This window comes from Homo sapiens, chromosome 16 (assembly GCF_000001405.40).
Source record: "Homo sapiens chromosome 16, GRCh38.p14 Primary Assembly".
NCBI lineage: Eukaryota > Metazoa > Chordata > Mammalia > Primates > Hominidae > Homo > Homo sapiens.
In genome coordinates, this window is record NC_000016.10 from 76349682 (window position 1) to 76366766 (window position 17085).

A 17085-nucleotide genomic window follows, 5' to 3' on the forward strand; every position below is an offset into this window, starting at 1 on the left:
ATGACAATTTTAATTAAGCCAATTATTTTCTAGGAATTTAGATGTCCTAATGGTGGCTAGAACCATCATTCAATTATGTTCACTTGTGTTTTGTGTCCTTGAACATCTGTGTCCTTTTACACTTTAAAATCTCGAGGAAGAAATGTAATTCCTTCTGTCTCTGCAGTCTCTACTTGAATAAAGTTGATACGTCGCCTTTACTGATGACCACCAGGAATGTCTGTCATGCCATTTTTAATATTACTACGGGATAAAGGTGATTCTTATCTATATTTTAAAGCTCCAACTAAGAGTATTTTTTCTTCACTTTTTCCTTTTACTTCCCTGAAATTTTAAGATGTGTCTCCCTTACCAGCACTAAATATTGGTGATATTTAGTAGATGGGATATATGAGTCTTAAACATGATTCAGCCAGCCAGGTAATTTATAATTAAATCACACAGAATAAATTATTTGAACATATTCTTGGGATAAAATATACTACTATGAGTCAAAGATAGTTGTAATTACTCCAGGGGTAAAGAATGAAAAATGGGGTGATATGTAAAGTGACATCCTCCCACTGATTAAAATAGTATTAAAAATAAGTAATTTCTCACCTGCACTAAAGTATTTGCATAGTATTGGGAAAATTTACTTAGCCTCTGTAAATACTTTTGTTTTTTTTCTTTTTAAAAGAGATGTTAAAGCATACTTCATCTCACTAGATAATTTTAATAATTAAGTTAATACAACGTATACAATTTCTAGTAGCGTGCTTAGCATACAATAGGCACTGGATAATTTTTAGTTTGCTTTTCTTACAATTCATAGCAACACATGTTACAGAAGCAAGTCCCTCAGAAATCTGATGTTGAAAAGTGGTAGGCAACAAATAAAAGAGATGCTGTGTTTTGCGGTCAATCAGTTACAAAATTTTTTCAAAGCTCAACTTTGCTGTGATCATAACTCTCTTTGGAGCTAATAGCAATAATAATTTTTGTAATTCAAAAAGCACTAACTGCCATATACTCTGATGTTTGTTGAATGTGGGAGAAATCAATAGGCACTTAATATGCTTTTAAAATTTAATTCTCATAACAATACTACAGCATTTAAGAGTCTTGTGAATGGGGAGAACTTTTATTTTTAAATGTGAGTTTTCAGGCTGTAATATGAAAAGTTAAGACATTTTTCCATTTGAATAGATTTATGACACTATTATGCCAAGTCTCAGTAACAAAGTTAAGGTAGGAGAAAGAGGACGGTGGAACAGGTAAAGGAAACCTGCAGTATGGGGACAAATAGGAACTGGTGGGGGCAAGACTCTTGTTTTTGTTTTGTGCGTAAATTATCATTAACCATGGAAGAGATGGGGTTGAGAAAAGATGGTCTTTAGTTTCATAAGAATTGGTTTCTTAGGATATTGAATATATTGGCATACTAAAATCACGAGGTCAAATAACACTTAACTAGCAGTTAAAAGGTTTTCTTAATAAAATAAATACAGTTTATTTGATAGTAATACAGAGTTTATAATTTGCTGGAGTTAGTCATCACTTTCTCTGTTAACAAAGTAAATATTACAATAGTGTGTTTCCGAGGGCTATGCGGTTTGGCGGTGGCCATACGGCTGGTGGTCTAACCTCAGCTGCAGTTACGTTTGCATTTCATGTCACTAGCTGTCATCATAGGCTGGCCCAAAAAAAAAAAAAATTCTGCAAAGAATAATCAATTTATCTCTATCGCTCAGTCTATCTGTCTAGCTTATGTCTTCCATTTTACTATTTAGCATTTGTCTTAAAATTAGAACAAGCCTAACACTCTATCACACGCTAATACCATGTGCATCTGCAGAGCTGCGCAGCTTAAAACCCGGTAGAGATATTTGGATTCCCTCTGGCCAACTTATCTGGCTGAAATTACTTGGTATAGCCTAGAAGCCTCTGAATTTCCATTACTTTATCAGTGTACCTCATTAATGATATAGCTTAATTTGCATACCAGTAGTACCTTTTCACCCCAGGTAAGGAATTGAAATGTTCAAGGTCAATTAACTGTGAATGTTTCAAGTTGGCTGGTGCAGCTGTAACTGTGAGCAGCGCTAGGAAGAGGGAGCAGTCAGTGAGGGCTTCCTCTTTCTCCTGATGAGAATTGATGATCCGATTTTAACTCACTAGAATCACACTGATTCTTTTCTTCTTGCTGCATTGCTGTCATGTGTTCGCTTTTTAAAATACTGGCCTGTAGAGGCATGGAAATGCAAGAGAAATACTGTGAAATTCTGGATTTTAGGAAAACATATTCTCAATTCCAGCTTTAGACCATTACAATTAACTAGAAAGGGCAAGAAGGAAACTAATCAGTGTTTTCTCAAAGGTATTAGCTGACACAGATGCAATTCCAAGTGTGGAATTTCCAGGCTGAGAGGGTGACATTATAGGGGCATTTCATTCACCCTTTCCTAACTTTTTCTTGTAAACAAAAAAAATGACAAAAATACAGAGAGATATGCAGTTGTAGCAATAAGAGAATTCAAGATGCTTGATTAGTACCAGACCCTAGAAGTCTTTCAATTTCTAAAGTTTTGACAGGGCCTGGAGGGAAAGAATAAAATTAGATAGGACAGTGGAGAGAAAAACTCATCCACACGCCATGTCCATCATGTGCCTATACTTCAAAGACACGGTCCATTGTAAACTACAGGGAGGGAAGTTGACCCTACTGCCTGGTAGCTTAATCCTGAGCTTCCCTGATCTCCAGGAGCACCAGTGAGTCTTTTCTACATCCACTGGGAACCACTGATTCCCACCTTTGCATCCTGACCTATGAGAGGCACTGCGGTGTCCTAGTTAGGGGCATGGTGCCTCTTGCCTGCTCCATGGATGAGGGCAAAGTGTTCAAACTCTTTGTATCTGATGCACCATCTACTATGTAGACTGCACTGAGAATTAATTTACAAGGCCTTCAACAAAGTGCCTGACACAAAGGACTCCCTTGCTCAGCAAATGTGAAGTAATACAGTATTAGAATAAGTAGAGGAGGATGGATGGTGTTTCATCACATCCTGAAAAATGAAGGATGGAGGAAGCATTGATTCAGATTTTAAAATAATGCCCCAGGAGCAGTTCCCGCAGAGTTCAAGAACTCCCCGAGCTATTTGTGGGAGGGTGCTATTTAAAGTGTGCTTCAGATCATTCAAGAACACATTCCGTATAAATAACAGTCTGCAAGGGTAGGAAGTACCCTTCACGGACAGCAGGGCCATGCTAAACAAATGACCCCAAGACACCAAGGGACCATGTCTATGCAACAAGCCCTCTTGCTTAAAAGATGAGAATATTCTGCTTTATAAGCATAAAGGTAGATAATATTGGTGTACAACGAAACTGCACCCCAAATCACAGGTTCTTTAAGAACAAATACAGAGAAAATTAAAAGTCAAAACGCATAAACAAAACTTGTAGCATGTAAAAAATTTCTGGATCCACAAAAGAGGAAGAGCATTGTGCTTTTGACACATGGAGTGGAATACAGTTTTGAACAATGATTCACTTGAAGAAAGATGGAAATTTGATGATGTATCTAATTCTAAAGACAGTATAGTAAGAAACAGGGATTATACCTGAATGCAAGCAGTCATTAGTGTGATGCCATCAAGAGAGGAGCTTCTTGTAATATAATGTTTAAAAAGAATTTCAACTTACTTATTTTAGATTAAGGAGTACATGTGCAGTTTGTTGTAATGCAATTTTTTAAAATGCTGCTTTGACACAGTTTTGACCCCGGCCAGGACTGGTCACTTTCCTTTCTTAGCAGCTGATTATGTCCATACTCCAACCACTTCCTTTATTAGGTTCTCACCCTTTGCGGTTGTTAAGCATCATTGCTGGGACAGGTACCAGACAACTAGGGGTGTCCTAGTGCCTCCTAGATAAATTGTTCAGATTAGCCAATTCACAGGAAGCCCACCAAGCCTAGCTAGCTAGCCCTATCCTGCTTGTCATACAGAAGCTGCCTCCTACAGCTCCAGTTTACCCTTATGCTGTCCTCTGGTGCATCCCCATGTGTGGTCCTGCCTGGCGTCTTCTCTTGTTAGTAGTTGTAAGTAGCAGAGTTCTGCCCTTCATCTATCAGAGTATCATTATGCTGTGTTCCACCATCAAAATAATCTTGAAGTCTTATAAAGTACTTGTCAACACTGGTGTGTGCCTTCAGGTCCTACAATGGCATACGCCCTACCATAACAGCAAACATTTATTGAGCATTTCTTTGAATTAGGTCTTGTACTCAAGGTTTCATAAAATGGGTCATGTATGCCAAGAATAATGCTTGAATCAAAACTATATAAATTAATGGTAATCTGTATCTAAAATTCCAGACCTTATTATCAGAGCCTCAAGGTGAGCAGCAAAAGAATGGGGGAAGAAAATGTGCTAACATTCTTATTTGGGGTGCTATATAATTGATGTGGCATTTTAATAAACATTAAATGTTAGATAATATGGATTCAAGAATGAGTCAAACCCTATTTCGTAACTTTTACAATGATTATATGTTACTTACATAATCAGCAATGTTAAATAATTCTTAAAATAATTCCCCAAATTATTATATTAAACTGGAAGAATGAAGCATCTTAACACGATATACAGGAGTCACATCTACAGTATTTTGGTGTGTGTTGGATCAAATATAACACAGTAAATTATGCTGTGCACATTACTTCTTTGAACATACATCACAACTTGTATTCTTTACTTCTGAGTGATCAAGCACAGCTTGCTCTATGATTTCCTTGGTTCTCTTTTCCCCCATCCTCTTACCCACCACCCTGCTCCCATATAGGATAGAAACAGTGGTGTGTTGGTAAACTGGCTGGGGTGAGGGCAGGTGCTTATTTGCAGAGTTTGCAGTTTCCGTGGTTTAAATACTCTCATCATGGCCAATTGCAAAGATGGTTATGTTTAATAACTAGCTTGCAAAATTGAAAATTTAATGATTGTCTCTCACAAACTGTTGGGAACAAGCTCCAACCCACCACTGGATAGAGTTGTGTTATTTTCTCCTGCAAACACGCCATCATTAATGTGTGTTTCAAATGTGGTTTTCAACATCTGTCCCTCCCAAAAGACTGTAAACATCTTGAGGCCAGGAACTATTTCTTGACTTTTGTTTTCCCAGACTTAACAATGTCCTCCCTTCTCTAAGTCTAAACATGATCACAAGTAGATTTTTAGTTCCACCACAGCTTTAGTTCCTTCATAGCTTGAAGTTACTTCCTTACATCCAGTCCTGGGCAAAGGGGTAGCAGAGCACACCATTACATGTGTGCAGTAGACATGCTAGTAAGTTCCCAGTGTTGGCAGGAATGTTCACCTATCATATTAAACATTTTAAATATTCAGCAAGACCCCTAGTTCTCCCAGTTTTAGAAGGCTATAAAATCTAGAAATGAATACAATTAATTAACATAGACATCATATAATTATACTAAATTCTTACCTCTATATTTTTCTACAATTATAAGAAGTTTCATATTTTGGATATTTAAGTTCCATAGAGGAATACAGTCGTACTGGCATTTCTTTACAAACATAGATTTTTAACTAACTTTCCTTTCTCAATTTTCTCCTGTTTCTATTTTTAATAAAAGGAGCTGGTGGCTGGTCTCCACTTGTGTCTAACAAATACCAGTGGTTGCAGATTGACCTTGGAGAGAGAATGGAGGTCACCGCTGTGGCCACTCAAGGGGGATATGGTAGCTCCAACTGGGTGACCAGCTACCTCCTGATGTTCAGTGATAGTGGCTGGAACTGGAAACAATATCGCCAAGAGGACAGCATCTGGGTATGTTCTTTAACAAAAGACATAGTCTCTCGGGGAAAAAGTATAATCAGTACTGCATCTTGTTTACCAATCTCTTAAATTAAGTAGACATACAGAATCTGCAGACTTACATTGAAAACATTTTCCAAGAGAAAATATGGTAAATAATCATTTTCCAATACATTTTATGGTAAATTTATGAGAATACTAAGGGTAAATTTATATTACAGGGTTCTCAAAAATTGAAAAATAAACCCTATTAGTCCATTAAATAGTGTGGGAGTCTAAGAAATAAATAAGACTTGTATAAAAAAAGTTTTGTTCAAAAACATAATAGTCTTGCATTGTCTTTTATTTATTTATTTATTTATTTATTTATTTATTTATTTATTTATTTATTTTTGAAACAGAGTCTCACTCTGTCACCCAGGCTGGTTGCAGTGGCGCGATCTTGGCTCACTGCAACCTCTGCCTCCCGGGTTCAAGCGATTCTCCTACTTCAGCCTCCCAAGTAGCTTGGATTATAGTCGCCCACAACCACACCCGGCTAATTTTTGTGTTTTTAGTAGAGACGGGCTTTCACCATGTTGGCCAGGCTGGACTCGAACTCCTGGCCTCAAGCAGTCCACCTGTCTCGGCGTCCCAAAGTGCTGGGATTATAGGCATGAGCCACTGAGCCCAGCCTGCATTGTCTTTATTTACAATTAGTCAAAATAATTTGTTCCTTTTATTTCTTCTGATAACTGAGATTTTTGAAACCCTGTTTCTTTCTCTGGTATATGGGGATTTATATATATAATATGTGGAGTTGTATATGTATGTATATGCATACACATGTACGCATATATATGATTTATCTGTAAACCCTTCTCTAGTCTCTGTAAAGTGTATAAATGTGTAAATTGCTGTGTGTTGTAAACAGTGGTGCAGCTCCTATAAGAGGGAGACTGGGAAAGAGGCATTTTGTGATAAAGTGGGTGATATTTGTAGTTGATTGATAAATAAACCTGGATATGGCATATAAACACCTGATGGAAGAAGAACCTAAAGGATGTTTGTTTGATAACAAAGGAAAGACTTCTTTCTTAGTGCAGAAAAATATTTGTTTGGATCTTATGTGGGCTAAGAACAATGTACTGCAATCAAAGAACTATTCTCCCCTCTCTGGCTGAGTTGCTGGAACTAGAGAAAATGGGTTACTTAATGAAGCGTCATTCTTAGCACACAGATAATTTGGAAGCCTATTTGGGCACATAATGATAATTTTCTTTGACCAGTCAGTTGCCTGTTTTTTGAAACTTCATAGAACTCCGTTATACATTATAAACTCATTGAAGAAATGGACTGTGATTTACTCACCTTTGTATGTTTAAAGCTCTTGGTGGCCATTCAATCCATGCTTATTGATGTAAATTGAATTGAGAGAAGTAGCCCTGCTCTTTCTCTAGAGGGAACAACAGTGGGACTAGAAGAAGTTGCCTATAAGCAGTTTTAAGAAAAGCTGTTTAAAATCCAAAGCAAGTTGAAGCTGTAAGAGGAAAAAAAAACAAACAAAACAACAAAACAAAACACACACACACACACACACACACCCCAAACTCCAAACACTGGGTATTACGTTCAACTAATTCCATGAAAGCCACTCAAACTAGGGATAAAATAAACAGTAATTATGAACCAATAACAATAAAAACTTAATGAGATATTTATTTAACTAGATGTTTGGATTATCTTCTGCTCTTTTTTGAATTAAGCATTGGAATTTAACCTAGATAAGTAGTGGCTAATGCATGCTAATATTTAGGTATGTTAATTAAAATGTATTTTTTTAAAAAGTGATCAATCAGGAAAATTGTTGTACTTCTGTTAAGCAAGCTTGGGGAAAGCCAAACCCAGGCACTGCCATTTACCTTACTTGCTTACTCTTATTAAAGTTGAGGCGCTCATGGTGAAATGGTGGCATGAATGATATCCTTACTAGTCCAAACCAGTAAAAGTAAAAACATGGCGTCTATCATAATCCTGTTAAGGTAACATTGCTTTCTAGACTCTGCTGTAATTTGTTGATTTACTCAGTGTCTTCCCTTCTTGAGTGTGAGCTCTGTAAATACTGTACCTTGCGATCTTTTATCTCAATATCCCCAAAGTGTAAGAGCACCTGGCATGTCACAGTCAAATATTAAATGTTTATTGAAGCAATGAGTGAATAAAATGCACTTTCTTGTAGAATACTCTTCTGATCACTCTAAAAGTGACTCTCTCTTGCCTCCATCAGCTCTTCTTTTTATTATATTCTATTTAATACCAATTTAATATACCAGTTAGAATGGCACATTTTTCTTTTCCCTATAGATATTGAACTTCTTTATGGGCGAGATTTTCTTTTTCTAGTCTTAGCATTTCTGGTATCCAACATCCAGTGTGGCACATGACTTTTGCTGCTTAAATAGGTGAAAGGACCAATAAATGAATGGATGTGAGTATGTCAGTCTGCTAATCTGTGCCTATCTTTGTCCAAATTTCTGGAAGGTATCAAAAGTTTATGTTAACTCACTGAAGAAGGCTGGGCGTTTTGGCTCACATCTGTAATCCCAGGGCTTTGGGAGGCCAAGGTGGAAGGATCACTTGAGGCCAGGAGTTCGAGACCAGCCTGGCCAACATGGTGAAACCTGGTCGCTACTAAAAATACAAAAAAGTTAGCTGGGCATGGTGACATGTGCCTATAATCCCAGCTACTTGGGAGGCTGAGATGGGAGGATTACTGGAACCTGGGAGGCAGAGGTTGCAGTGAGCTGAGATTGCACCACTGCACTCCAGCCTGGGTGACAGAGCAAGACTCCATTTCAAAAACAAAACAAACAGCAACAACAAAATCACTGAAGAGATAAGGCATATCAGAGCAAAACAAAGAAAGATTAAGCGGAACATGCAAATATTAGATACAGATTCCTAAGCATTTGGAAATGGACAGAATATGGAGATCATTGTAAGCTGAATTTGTCAAAGTAGTAAGGCTTACATAGGTCTTGAAGAAAGCATTATAGTTTAGATTATGGAAGGATTAAGGAGGCTATTTTATGAAGCTGGAAAGGTGTGAAAAAAGCATGGACATTGGGGATATCCAGAGTTATGGTTTCCTGTGTAATAACTAGTGAGATTACTGGTCACATTGGACTATCAAGTTTTGGAAAGACTGGAAGATAATGTTGGATCTGGCAAAGAAAGTTGACAGATAACTTTAAATGTCAAGATCAAAGTTAAGACTTAGTACAATAGACACCATTACCACACATAACATAGCTAAGTTGTAGTGTAGATAAAACAACCCCAAGTCTCTGAAAGTATACGTATGTGTGTGTATATATATATATGTATGTGTATATGTATGTGTGTGTATATATATGTATGTATGTGTATGTATTTCCTGTTAATCCTAGGTAGCTTCAAAGTTTTATTCTATTCCATAGTTACTCTGGTCCCACTCTAAAGGAAGCTCTCTGTGAATCGCTAATTGCTGAAGCAGGAAAATTGAAATATGGTGAATTGTGCCCTGTCTCTTGACTTTTCTGCCTGGAAGAACACAGACCACTTCAATTTGCATTTTTTAAGCAGAAGAACAATTTCAAATTGATGTACATCATAAAAAAACTTAACCCTTTGTTACATTTTACAAATGTGTATTTCCCAACTTTTTGTTTTCTGGCTCAGTTTTTGTAGGTATTATAGGATGTATACCAATTATACAAAATATGCCAATTTCCTTTAAGAGCTTCACAATCTGCTCCACATGATGCAAATAAGTCTACGAAAGAGAGTTAGGAAACACATAAGGCATTATACAAGTATGTGATAGAAAAACAAAAGACAAGTGTTACTGGTTTAGGAACAAAAGCAATAAAAACAATCAACACGGATTGAAATGCTGCAGGGAAAATTCTTCATTCTCTCCTCATTTGGTCTCACTTTGAATGCCAGGCAGTACAATGACTTCTACATACCTGAAATAATTAAAAAAATGCTCTGCCACTTCTTACAAATAATCCCTAAGAGGAAAGACAGAATATTTTACAGTCTATACAGATCATTTAATAGAAATGCAAACTTGATAGATATGTGATATTTTAAAATATTACACATTGGAATATTTCTTCAGTGAAAAATTTATAGTGCAATGTTCATAAAATATAATTTATACAAAGTATTCTGCTGAATGGCAAACAAATATTTTATGAAAATTCAGAAAATGCAAGCTAAACTTTCTCCTCTCAGATTGAACACAAAATTCCTCAACATCTATAATAAAAAGGTTCTCTTCAGTTTATTGTACATGATTGAAAAAGTAAACATAAGGTATAATTTTCACTCACTTAAGAACAATTGCTGAGATATCGTGAAATCAACATCTTAGAAATTATTTTAAATAGATAACATGTGCAGGAACTTTACAGGCAAATTCTCCAAATCCTTTATGGTAAATGCCTAAGATTCTTTTATACTGCAGACTACAAGGGCAATGAATGGGTTGGTACCAATCTTATAAACTGAGTAAATATGATTGTTAAACCCAAGAATAGTTTGCTTTATTTAAAATAGACTTCAGTTGTACTTGATTTTTCAAACAAAAACCTTTATTGCCTATATGAAGTTAGTATCTCTTTGTTTTTTGTTCTTTAACTAGAAGTGTCTAGTGTCATGGTTCTGGGTTTGGCTGGTGAAAGACACAGAGACCCTGTGGCATGGTGTAGTCAGTGAGGCAGAAGCACTACCTGTCACAAAATATTCAGGCCATTATTATCACCGTGAATGATTGAGGTGTCAACTCTGTAAGCCAGACAGGGTAGAAACACTACCTGCAAAGATTTCCACATGCATTTGTTTTAAGTCAAATAAGGGCCTAGGGATAGTTTAATAGAAAATCTGAGGAGGCAGAAGTGCAAAAGAGATATAAGCTGTAGGGTAGGTGACTCTCCTCCTTGTGAGTGGCATTTTTCCTTCCTTATGTTGAGCCCTTATTCTCTTGACCTAAGCCTACAAGCAGCATTTGTGGTGATAGAAGTTGTAGCAATACTAACGCCAAGTGTGTGAACATGTCAAGCTGTCAAACTTAATGCACTGCAGTACTTGCTTAGTACTTGGCAAATGCCTAGAGAGTGCCTGCAGCTGCTTTTATCTTTCAAGAGACTGATCCAAAACATATTTTAATGAAAGTCTACATTATTAGTCTAAATCTTCAGGAAGTTTCCTGTTTATATTTCTATTTAGCTCCACATTCTCTAGCTTTTGAAAATGATTAACCTGCTAATGCCTGGTTAAAACATGGCTGCATTTTTTTTTTTTTTTTTTTGAGATGGAGTCTCGCTCTGTTGCCCAGGCTGGAGTGCAGTGGCACGATCTCGGCTCACTGCAAGCTCCACCTCCTGGGTTCACACCATTCTCCTGCCTCAGCCTCCCTAGTAGCTGGAACTACAGGCGCCTGCCTCCACACCCGGCTAATTTTTTTTTTTTTGTATTTTTGGTAGATACGGGGTTTCACCACGTTAGCCAGGATGGCCTCGATTTGCTGACCTCGTGGTCCGCCTGCCTCAACCTCCCAAAGTGCTGGGATTACAGGCATGAGGCACCGCGCCCGGCCCATTTTTTATAATTGTGTTAAAAAAAAACTTAACATGAAATCTAACGTCTTGACAAATTTTTAAGTGCACAGTACAATACTGTTCACTATAAGCACAGTGTTGTAAGGCAGATCTGCAGGACTCAATCGTTTTGCTTAACTGGAACATTTAATCTGTTGAATGACACCTCCTCATTTCACCCTTTTCCTATCCCCTGGCAACCATCATTCAACTTTCTGCCTCTATAGATTTGACTATTTTAGATACATGTACCTCATATGAAAGTGGCAACATGCATTATTTGTTCTTCTGTGACTGGCTTATTTCACTTAGCGTTATGTCGTCAAAGTTTGTTTGTGCTGAAAGAATTTTGAGGCAGAATGTGCTTTCTTTTTTTTTAAGGCTGAGGAACATTCCATTTCATGTAAATACCACAATTTTAAAATCTATTCATTTGCCTATGGACATTTAGGTTGTTGCCACTTCTTCGCTGTTGTAAATAATGATGCAATGAGTATGAGGGTGCAGATGTCTCTTTGAGATCCTGATTTCAGTTCTTTTGGATAAATACCTGGGATCAGGATTGCTGAATCACATGGAATTTCAGTTTTTAATTTTTGAGGAAATTCCATACTGCATGCTGTTTTCCATGGTGGTTGTACCATTTTAAATTTCTACCAACTATGTACTAGGGTTCCGATTTCTCCAATTTCTTGTCACTGCTTGTTATCTTTTGTTTTCCTTGTTTAAATGACAGATATCCTAACAGGTGTGAGGTGATATCTCACTGTGGTTTTGATTTGCATTTCCCTGATGACTGGAAATGTTGAGTATCTTTTCACCAACCTGCTGGTTATGTGTATATCTTCTTTGGAGAACTGTCTGCTCAATGCTTTTGCTCATGTTAAAATCAGGTTTTTTCCCCTTTTTATGCTATTGAGTTGGGGAAGTTACTGATATATTTTTACTATACTATTATTATATATTTAGTTTATACATACTAACGATAAATGATCCAAAAAGGAAATTTAAAACATAGTCTCATTTAGAATAGTATCAAAAAGAATAACATACTTAGGAATAAACTTTACCATGGGAACAAAAGAGCTGTACACTGAAAACTACAAAACATTGCTGAAAGAAGTGAAAGAAGAACCAAATAAATGAAAAAATTTCTGTGTTCATGGATTAGAAGACTTAATATTGTTGAAATGTCTATACTACTCAAAGCAATCTATAGATTCAATGCAATCCCTATCAAAATCCCAGTGGCATTTTGTTACAGAAATAGAAAAAATATCCTAAGATTTATATAAAACCAGAAATTTAGGTAGAACCACAAACATGTTTTTTGAATATCCAAAACAATCCTGAGAAAGAACAAAGCTAGAGACATCACACATCTGATTTCAAAATATATTACAAAGCTACAATATGGTGCTGGCATAAAGACAGACATATAGACCAATAAAACAGCATAAAGTCCAGAAATAAACCCATACATCTATGGTCTACTGATCTTTCACAAGGGTGTCAAGAACAAACAAAGGAACAGAAAACCAAATACTGCATGTTCTCACTTATAAATGGGAACATAGAGTGCATATGGAGATAAAGAAGGGAAGAGTACACACCAGAACCTAATTGAGGGTGGAGGGTGGGAGGAGGGTGAGGATCAAAAAACTACCTGTGAGGTACTATGCTTATTACCTAGGTCACAAAATAATCTGTACATAAAACCACTGTGACATACAATTTGCCTATATAACAAACCTGCACATGTATGCCTGAACCTAAAATAGAAGTTAATAAAATAAGGAAAAAAGAATACACAATGGGGGCCAGGCATGGCAGCTTATACCTGTAATCCCAGCATTTTGGGAGGAGGAGGAAGTATCATTTGAGGCCAGGAGTTCAAGACCAGCCTGGGCAATATAGCAAGACCCATGCTCTATTAAAAAAAAAAAAATAGACAATGGGGAATGTATAGTCTCTTCAACAAATGCTACTGGGTAAACTGGATATCCACATGCAAAACAATGAAATTAAACCCTTATCTTTTTTTTTTTTTTTTGGGAGTTGGAGTCTCACTCTTGCACCCAGGCTGGAGTGCAGTGGCAGTGGATCCCGGCTCATTGCAACTTCTGCCTCCTGGGTTCAAGTGATTCTCCTGCCTCAGCCTCCTGAGTGGCAGGGATTACAAGTGTGTGCCACCATACCCAGCTAATTTTTTATTTTCAGTAGAGACTGGGCTTCACCATGTTAGCCAGGCTGACCTCAAACTCCCTACCTTAGGCAATCCACCCACCTTGGCCTCCCAAAGTGCTGAGATTACAGGCGTGAGATACTGCGCCCAGCCTGGACCCTTATACCGTATGCAAAAATTAACTCAAAATGGGTTAAAGACTTAAATGGAAAACCTGAAACTGTAAAACTGCTAGAAAAAAACGTACAGAAACAGCTTCACGACATTGGTCTTGGTAATGCATAAATATTTTTAAATATACCAAAAGCACAGACAACAAAATGAAAAATAAACAAGTGGAACTACGTCAACAAAAACCTTCTGTATAGCATACAACAAAGTGAACAGGCATCCTAAAGAATGAGAGAAATATTTGGAAACCATGTATCTGATAGGGAGTTAGTATTAAAAAAGCATTTGGGTTTTAAATATGACCTCAATCACAAGTCAACACAGTTAGTTTGCTAGGCATCTTCTTCATTAAGTAGTGTCGGTGGCTCTGTTTCATCTCTTTGCATCTGTGCACATTCTATAGCATGTTACATCAATCCCTTCTCATAAACTTCTGTGAGGTGCATGTATATTGGAGCTTTACCTTAATATATAATATACAAAAAAATACATATGGCCTGTAATCCCAGCACTTTGGGAGGCTGGGGTGGGTGCATCACTTGAGCCCAGGAGTTTGAGACCACCCTAGCCAGTATGGTAAAATCCTGTATCTATTAAGAATACAAAAATTAGCTGGGCATGGTGGTGCACACCTGTAATCCCAGCTACTCTGGAGGTTGAGGCATGAGAATCACTAGAACCTGGGAGGTGGAGGTTGCGGTGAGCTGATATGCCACTGCATTCCAGCCTGGGCAACAGAGCGAGATTCCATCTCAAAAAAAAAAAAAAAAAAAAAAAAAACAGAAAAGAAAAAATATATGAACTCTTATGAGCTGTAGATACACATAGCAATGTGAGATAAATTGTGATATTGCTTCACAGTCTTTAAATGGATCTGTTTGTAAGCAAGCAAAAAATTTATTTGAAGAGAGGGACTAGAGTTAACAGGGAATTTAATTTGGTGCCTCTTCAGAGTGTACACCCCCATTCCAGTTCATTTTCAAATAATCAACCTGAGAACAACATTTTTAAAACACTTGATAACTTGTATCTCACATTCTACCATGTGACAATTCAATGACAACATCACTCCCTTTTCTCTATTCCCTCTTACCACGGCTGCGATACTGTGTCTTAGACATCTGCTTTTTGGCTGCTTCATTCCCCAGGAGGCTACATTTTGCATTTTTCAATCTTGGAAGCAGTTCTGTTCCTTTGAAGTGTTTCTTCATTGTTCCTTAGGACCTAGACAAAACTAATACTTCCCATTCACTTTGCTAATTTTCCATCTTTAATTTATATACTTTATTAAGTATATTTTAAATAGAGACGAGATTAAAAAATATTTACAACTATTCTGTAGGTTGCCTGTTCAGTCTGATGATAGTTTCTTTTGCTGTGCAGAAGCTCTCTAGTTTAATTAGATCCCATTTGTCTATTTTGGTTTTTGTTGTCATTGCTTTTGGTGTTTTAGTCATGAAGTCTTTGCCCATGCCTAGGTCCTGAATGGTATTGCCTAGGTTTTCTTCTAGGGTTTTTATGGTTATAGGTCTTACGTTTAAGTCTTTAATCCATCTTGAGTTAATTTTTGCATAAGGTGTGAGGAAGGGATTCAGTTTCAGCTTTCTGCATACGGCTAGCCAGTTTTCCCAACACCATTTATTAAATAGGGAATCCTTTCCCCATTGCTTGTTTTTGTCAGGTTTGTCAAAGATCAGATGGTTGTAGATGTGTGGCGTTATTTCTGAGGCCTCTGTTCTGTTCCCTTGGTCTATATATCTGTTTTGATATCAGTACCATGCTGTTTTTGTTACTGTAGCCTTGTAGTATAGTTTGAAGTCAGGTACTGTGATGGTTCCAGCTTTGTTCTTTTGCTTAGGATTATCTTGGCTATGTGGGCTCTTTTTTGGTTCCATATGAAATTTAAAGTATTTTTTGCTAATTCTGTGAAGAAAGTCAATGGAGAAACTAAGATTTGAAGTGGATACAATTATATTTCTTAAAAACTCTGGCCAGGCGTTGTGGCTCACACCTGTAATCCCAGCACTTTGGGAGGCCAAGGCGGGTGGATCACGTGAGATCAGGAGTTCAAAACTAGCCTGGCCAACATGGTGAAATCCTGTCTCTACTAAAAATACAAAAAATTACCCGGGTATAGTGGCGGACACCTGTAATCCCAGCTACTTGCGAGGCTGAGGCAGGAGAATTGCTTGAACCTGGGAGACTGAGGTTGCAGTGAGCTGAGATCACGCCACTGCACTCCTTCCTGGGGGACAGAGTGAGACTCCGTCTCAAAAAAAAAAAAAAAAAAACCTAAGAGAATCATCTGGGTAATTACTTTTTATAAAGGTAATTCAGTAATGCTTCTAACAACAAAATTAATTTTTAAATTCTTAAGTTCTCTTCCTAGATATAAATAACTACATGGACAATGTAAAAGAAATACAAACGCCATTTGTAATAGAATCCAAACTAGATTAGATTGGAAGTTGGGTTTATTATTTATTGATTTGCTTAATTTATCTTCATGGAAATATATATTCTGAAGCTACTCTTGTTGATCCTGATATGCTTTTTTGTTATTGTTGTCTTTTATGTTTTAATTTTTTGACTTTAAGTTTTTTTATCTTTGTGCATTTACATTTACCTTTTTAGTTTCGTGTCAAATTATAAAAAATTTGCTGAAATTTTTTTAAACTTTTAGGTTCAGGGATACATGTGCAGGTTTGTTGTATAGTTAAACTCATGTTGTACAGATTATTTTGTCAGCCAGGTACTAAGCCTGGTACCCAATAGTTAATTTTTCTGCTCCTCTCTGTCTTCCCACCCTCCATTCTCAAGTAAGCCCCAGTGTCTGTTGTTCCCTTCCTTGTGTTTATGAGTTCTCATCATTTAGCTCCCACTTATAAGTAGGAACATATAGCATTTGGTTTTCTGTTCGTGCATTAGTTTGCTAATGATAATGGCCTCCAGTTCCATCCATGTTCCCAAAACAGACATAATCTCATTCTTTTCTTACGGCTGCATAGTATTACATGATGCATATGTATCACATTTTCTTTATCCAGTCTTTCATTGATGGGCATTTATGTTGATTCCATGTCTTTGCTATTGTGACTAGTGCTGCAGTAAACATTTGCGTGCATGTGTCTTTGTGGTAGAATGATTTCTACTATTCTGGGTATGTACTCAGTAGTGGGATTGCTGGGTCAAATGGTTCTTAGCTCTTTGAGGAATTGCCATACTGCTTTCCACAATGGTTGAACTAATTTAGACTCCCACCAACAGTGTATAAGTAATCCAAAAAA

At 37.0% G+C, this 17085-nt stretch overlaps 1 protein-coding gene across 16 annotated transcripts in view; it reads left to right on the top strand.

Annotated features, from left to right (window-relative positions):
- The window catches only part of CNTNAP4 (contactin associated protein family member 4), a 283357-nt gene that overhangs the window by 72281 nt on the left and 193991 nt on the right, over positions 1–17085 (top strand). For 13 of the 16 annotated variants that reach the window (NR_136216.2, NR_136210.2, NR_136213.2 and 10 more), the window contains one exon: positions 5637–5830. The exons of 2 other annotated variants lie outside the window; for them this stretch is intronic. Coding sequence is in view for 10 of the 14 variants with exons in the window: in NM_033401.5 (NP_207837.2) it covers positions 5637–5830 (194 nt within the window). In the remaining 4 variants the exon portion in view is untranslated. The remainder of the gene's footprint in view (positions 1–5636; positions 5831–17085) is intronic. One more of the 16 variants, NM_001322181.2, reaches the window with a different exon arrangement.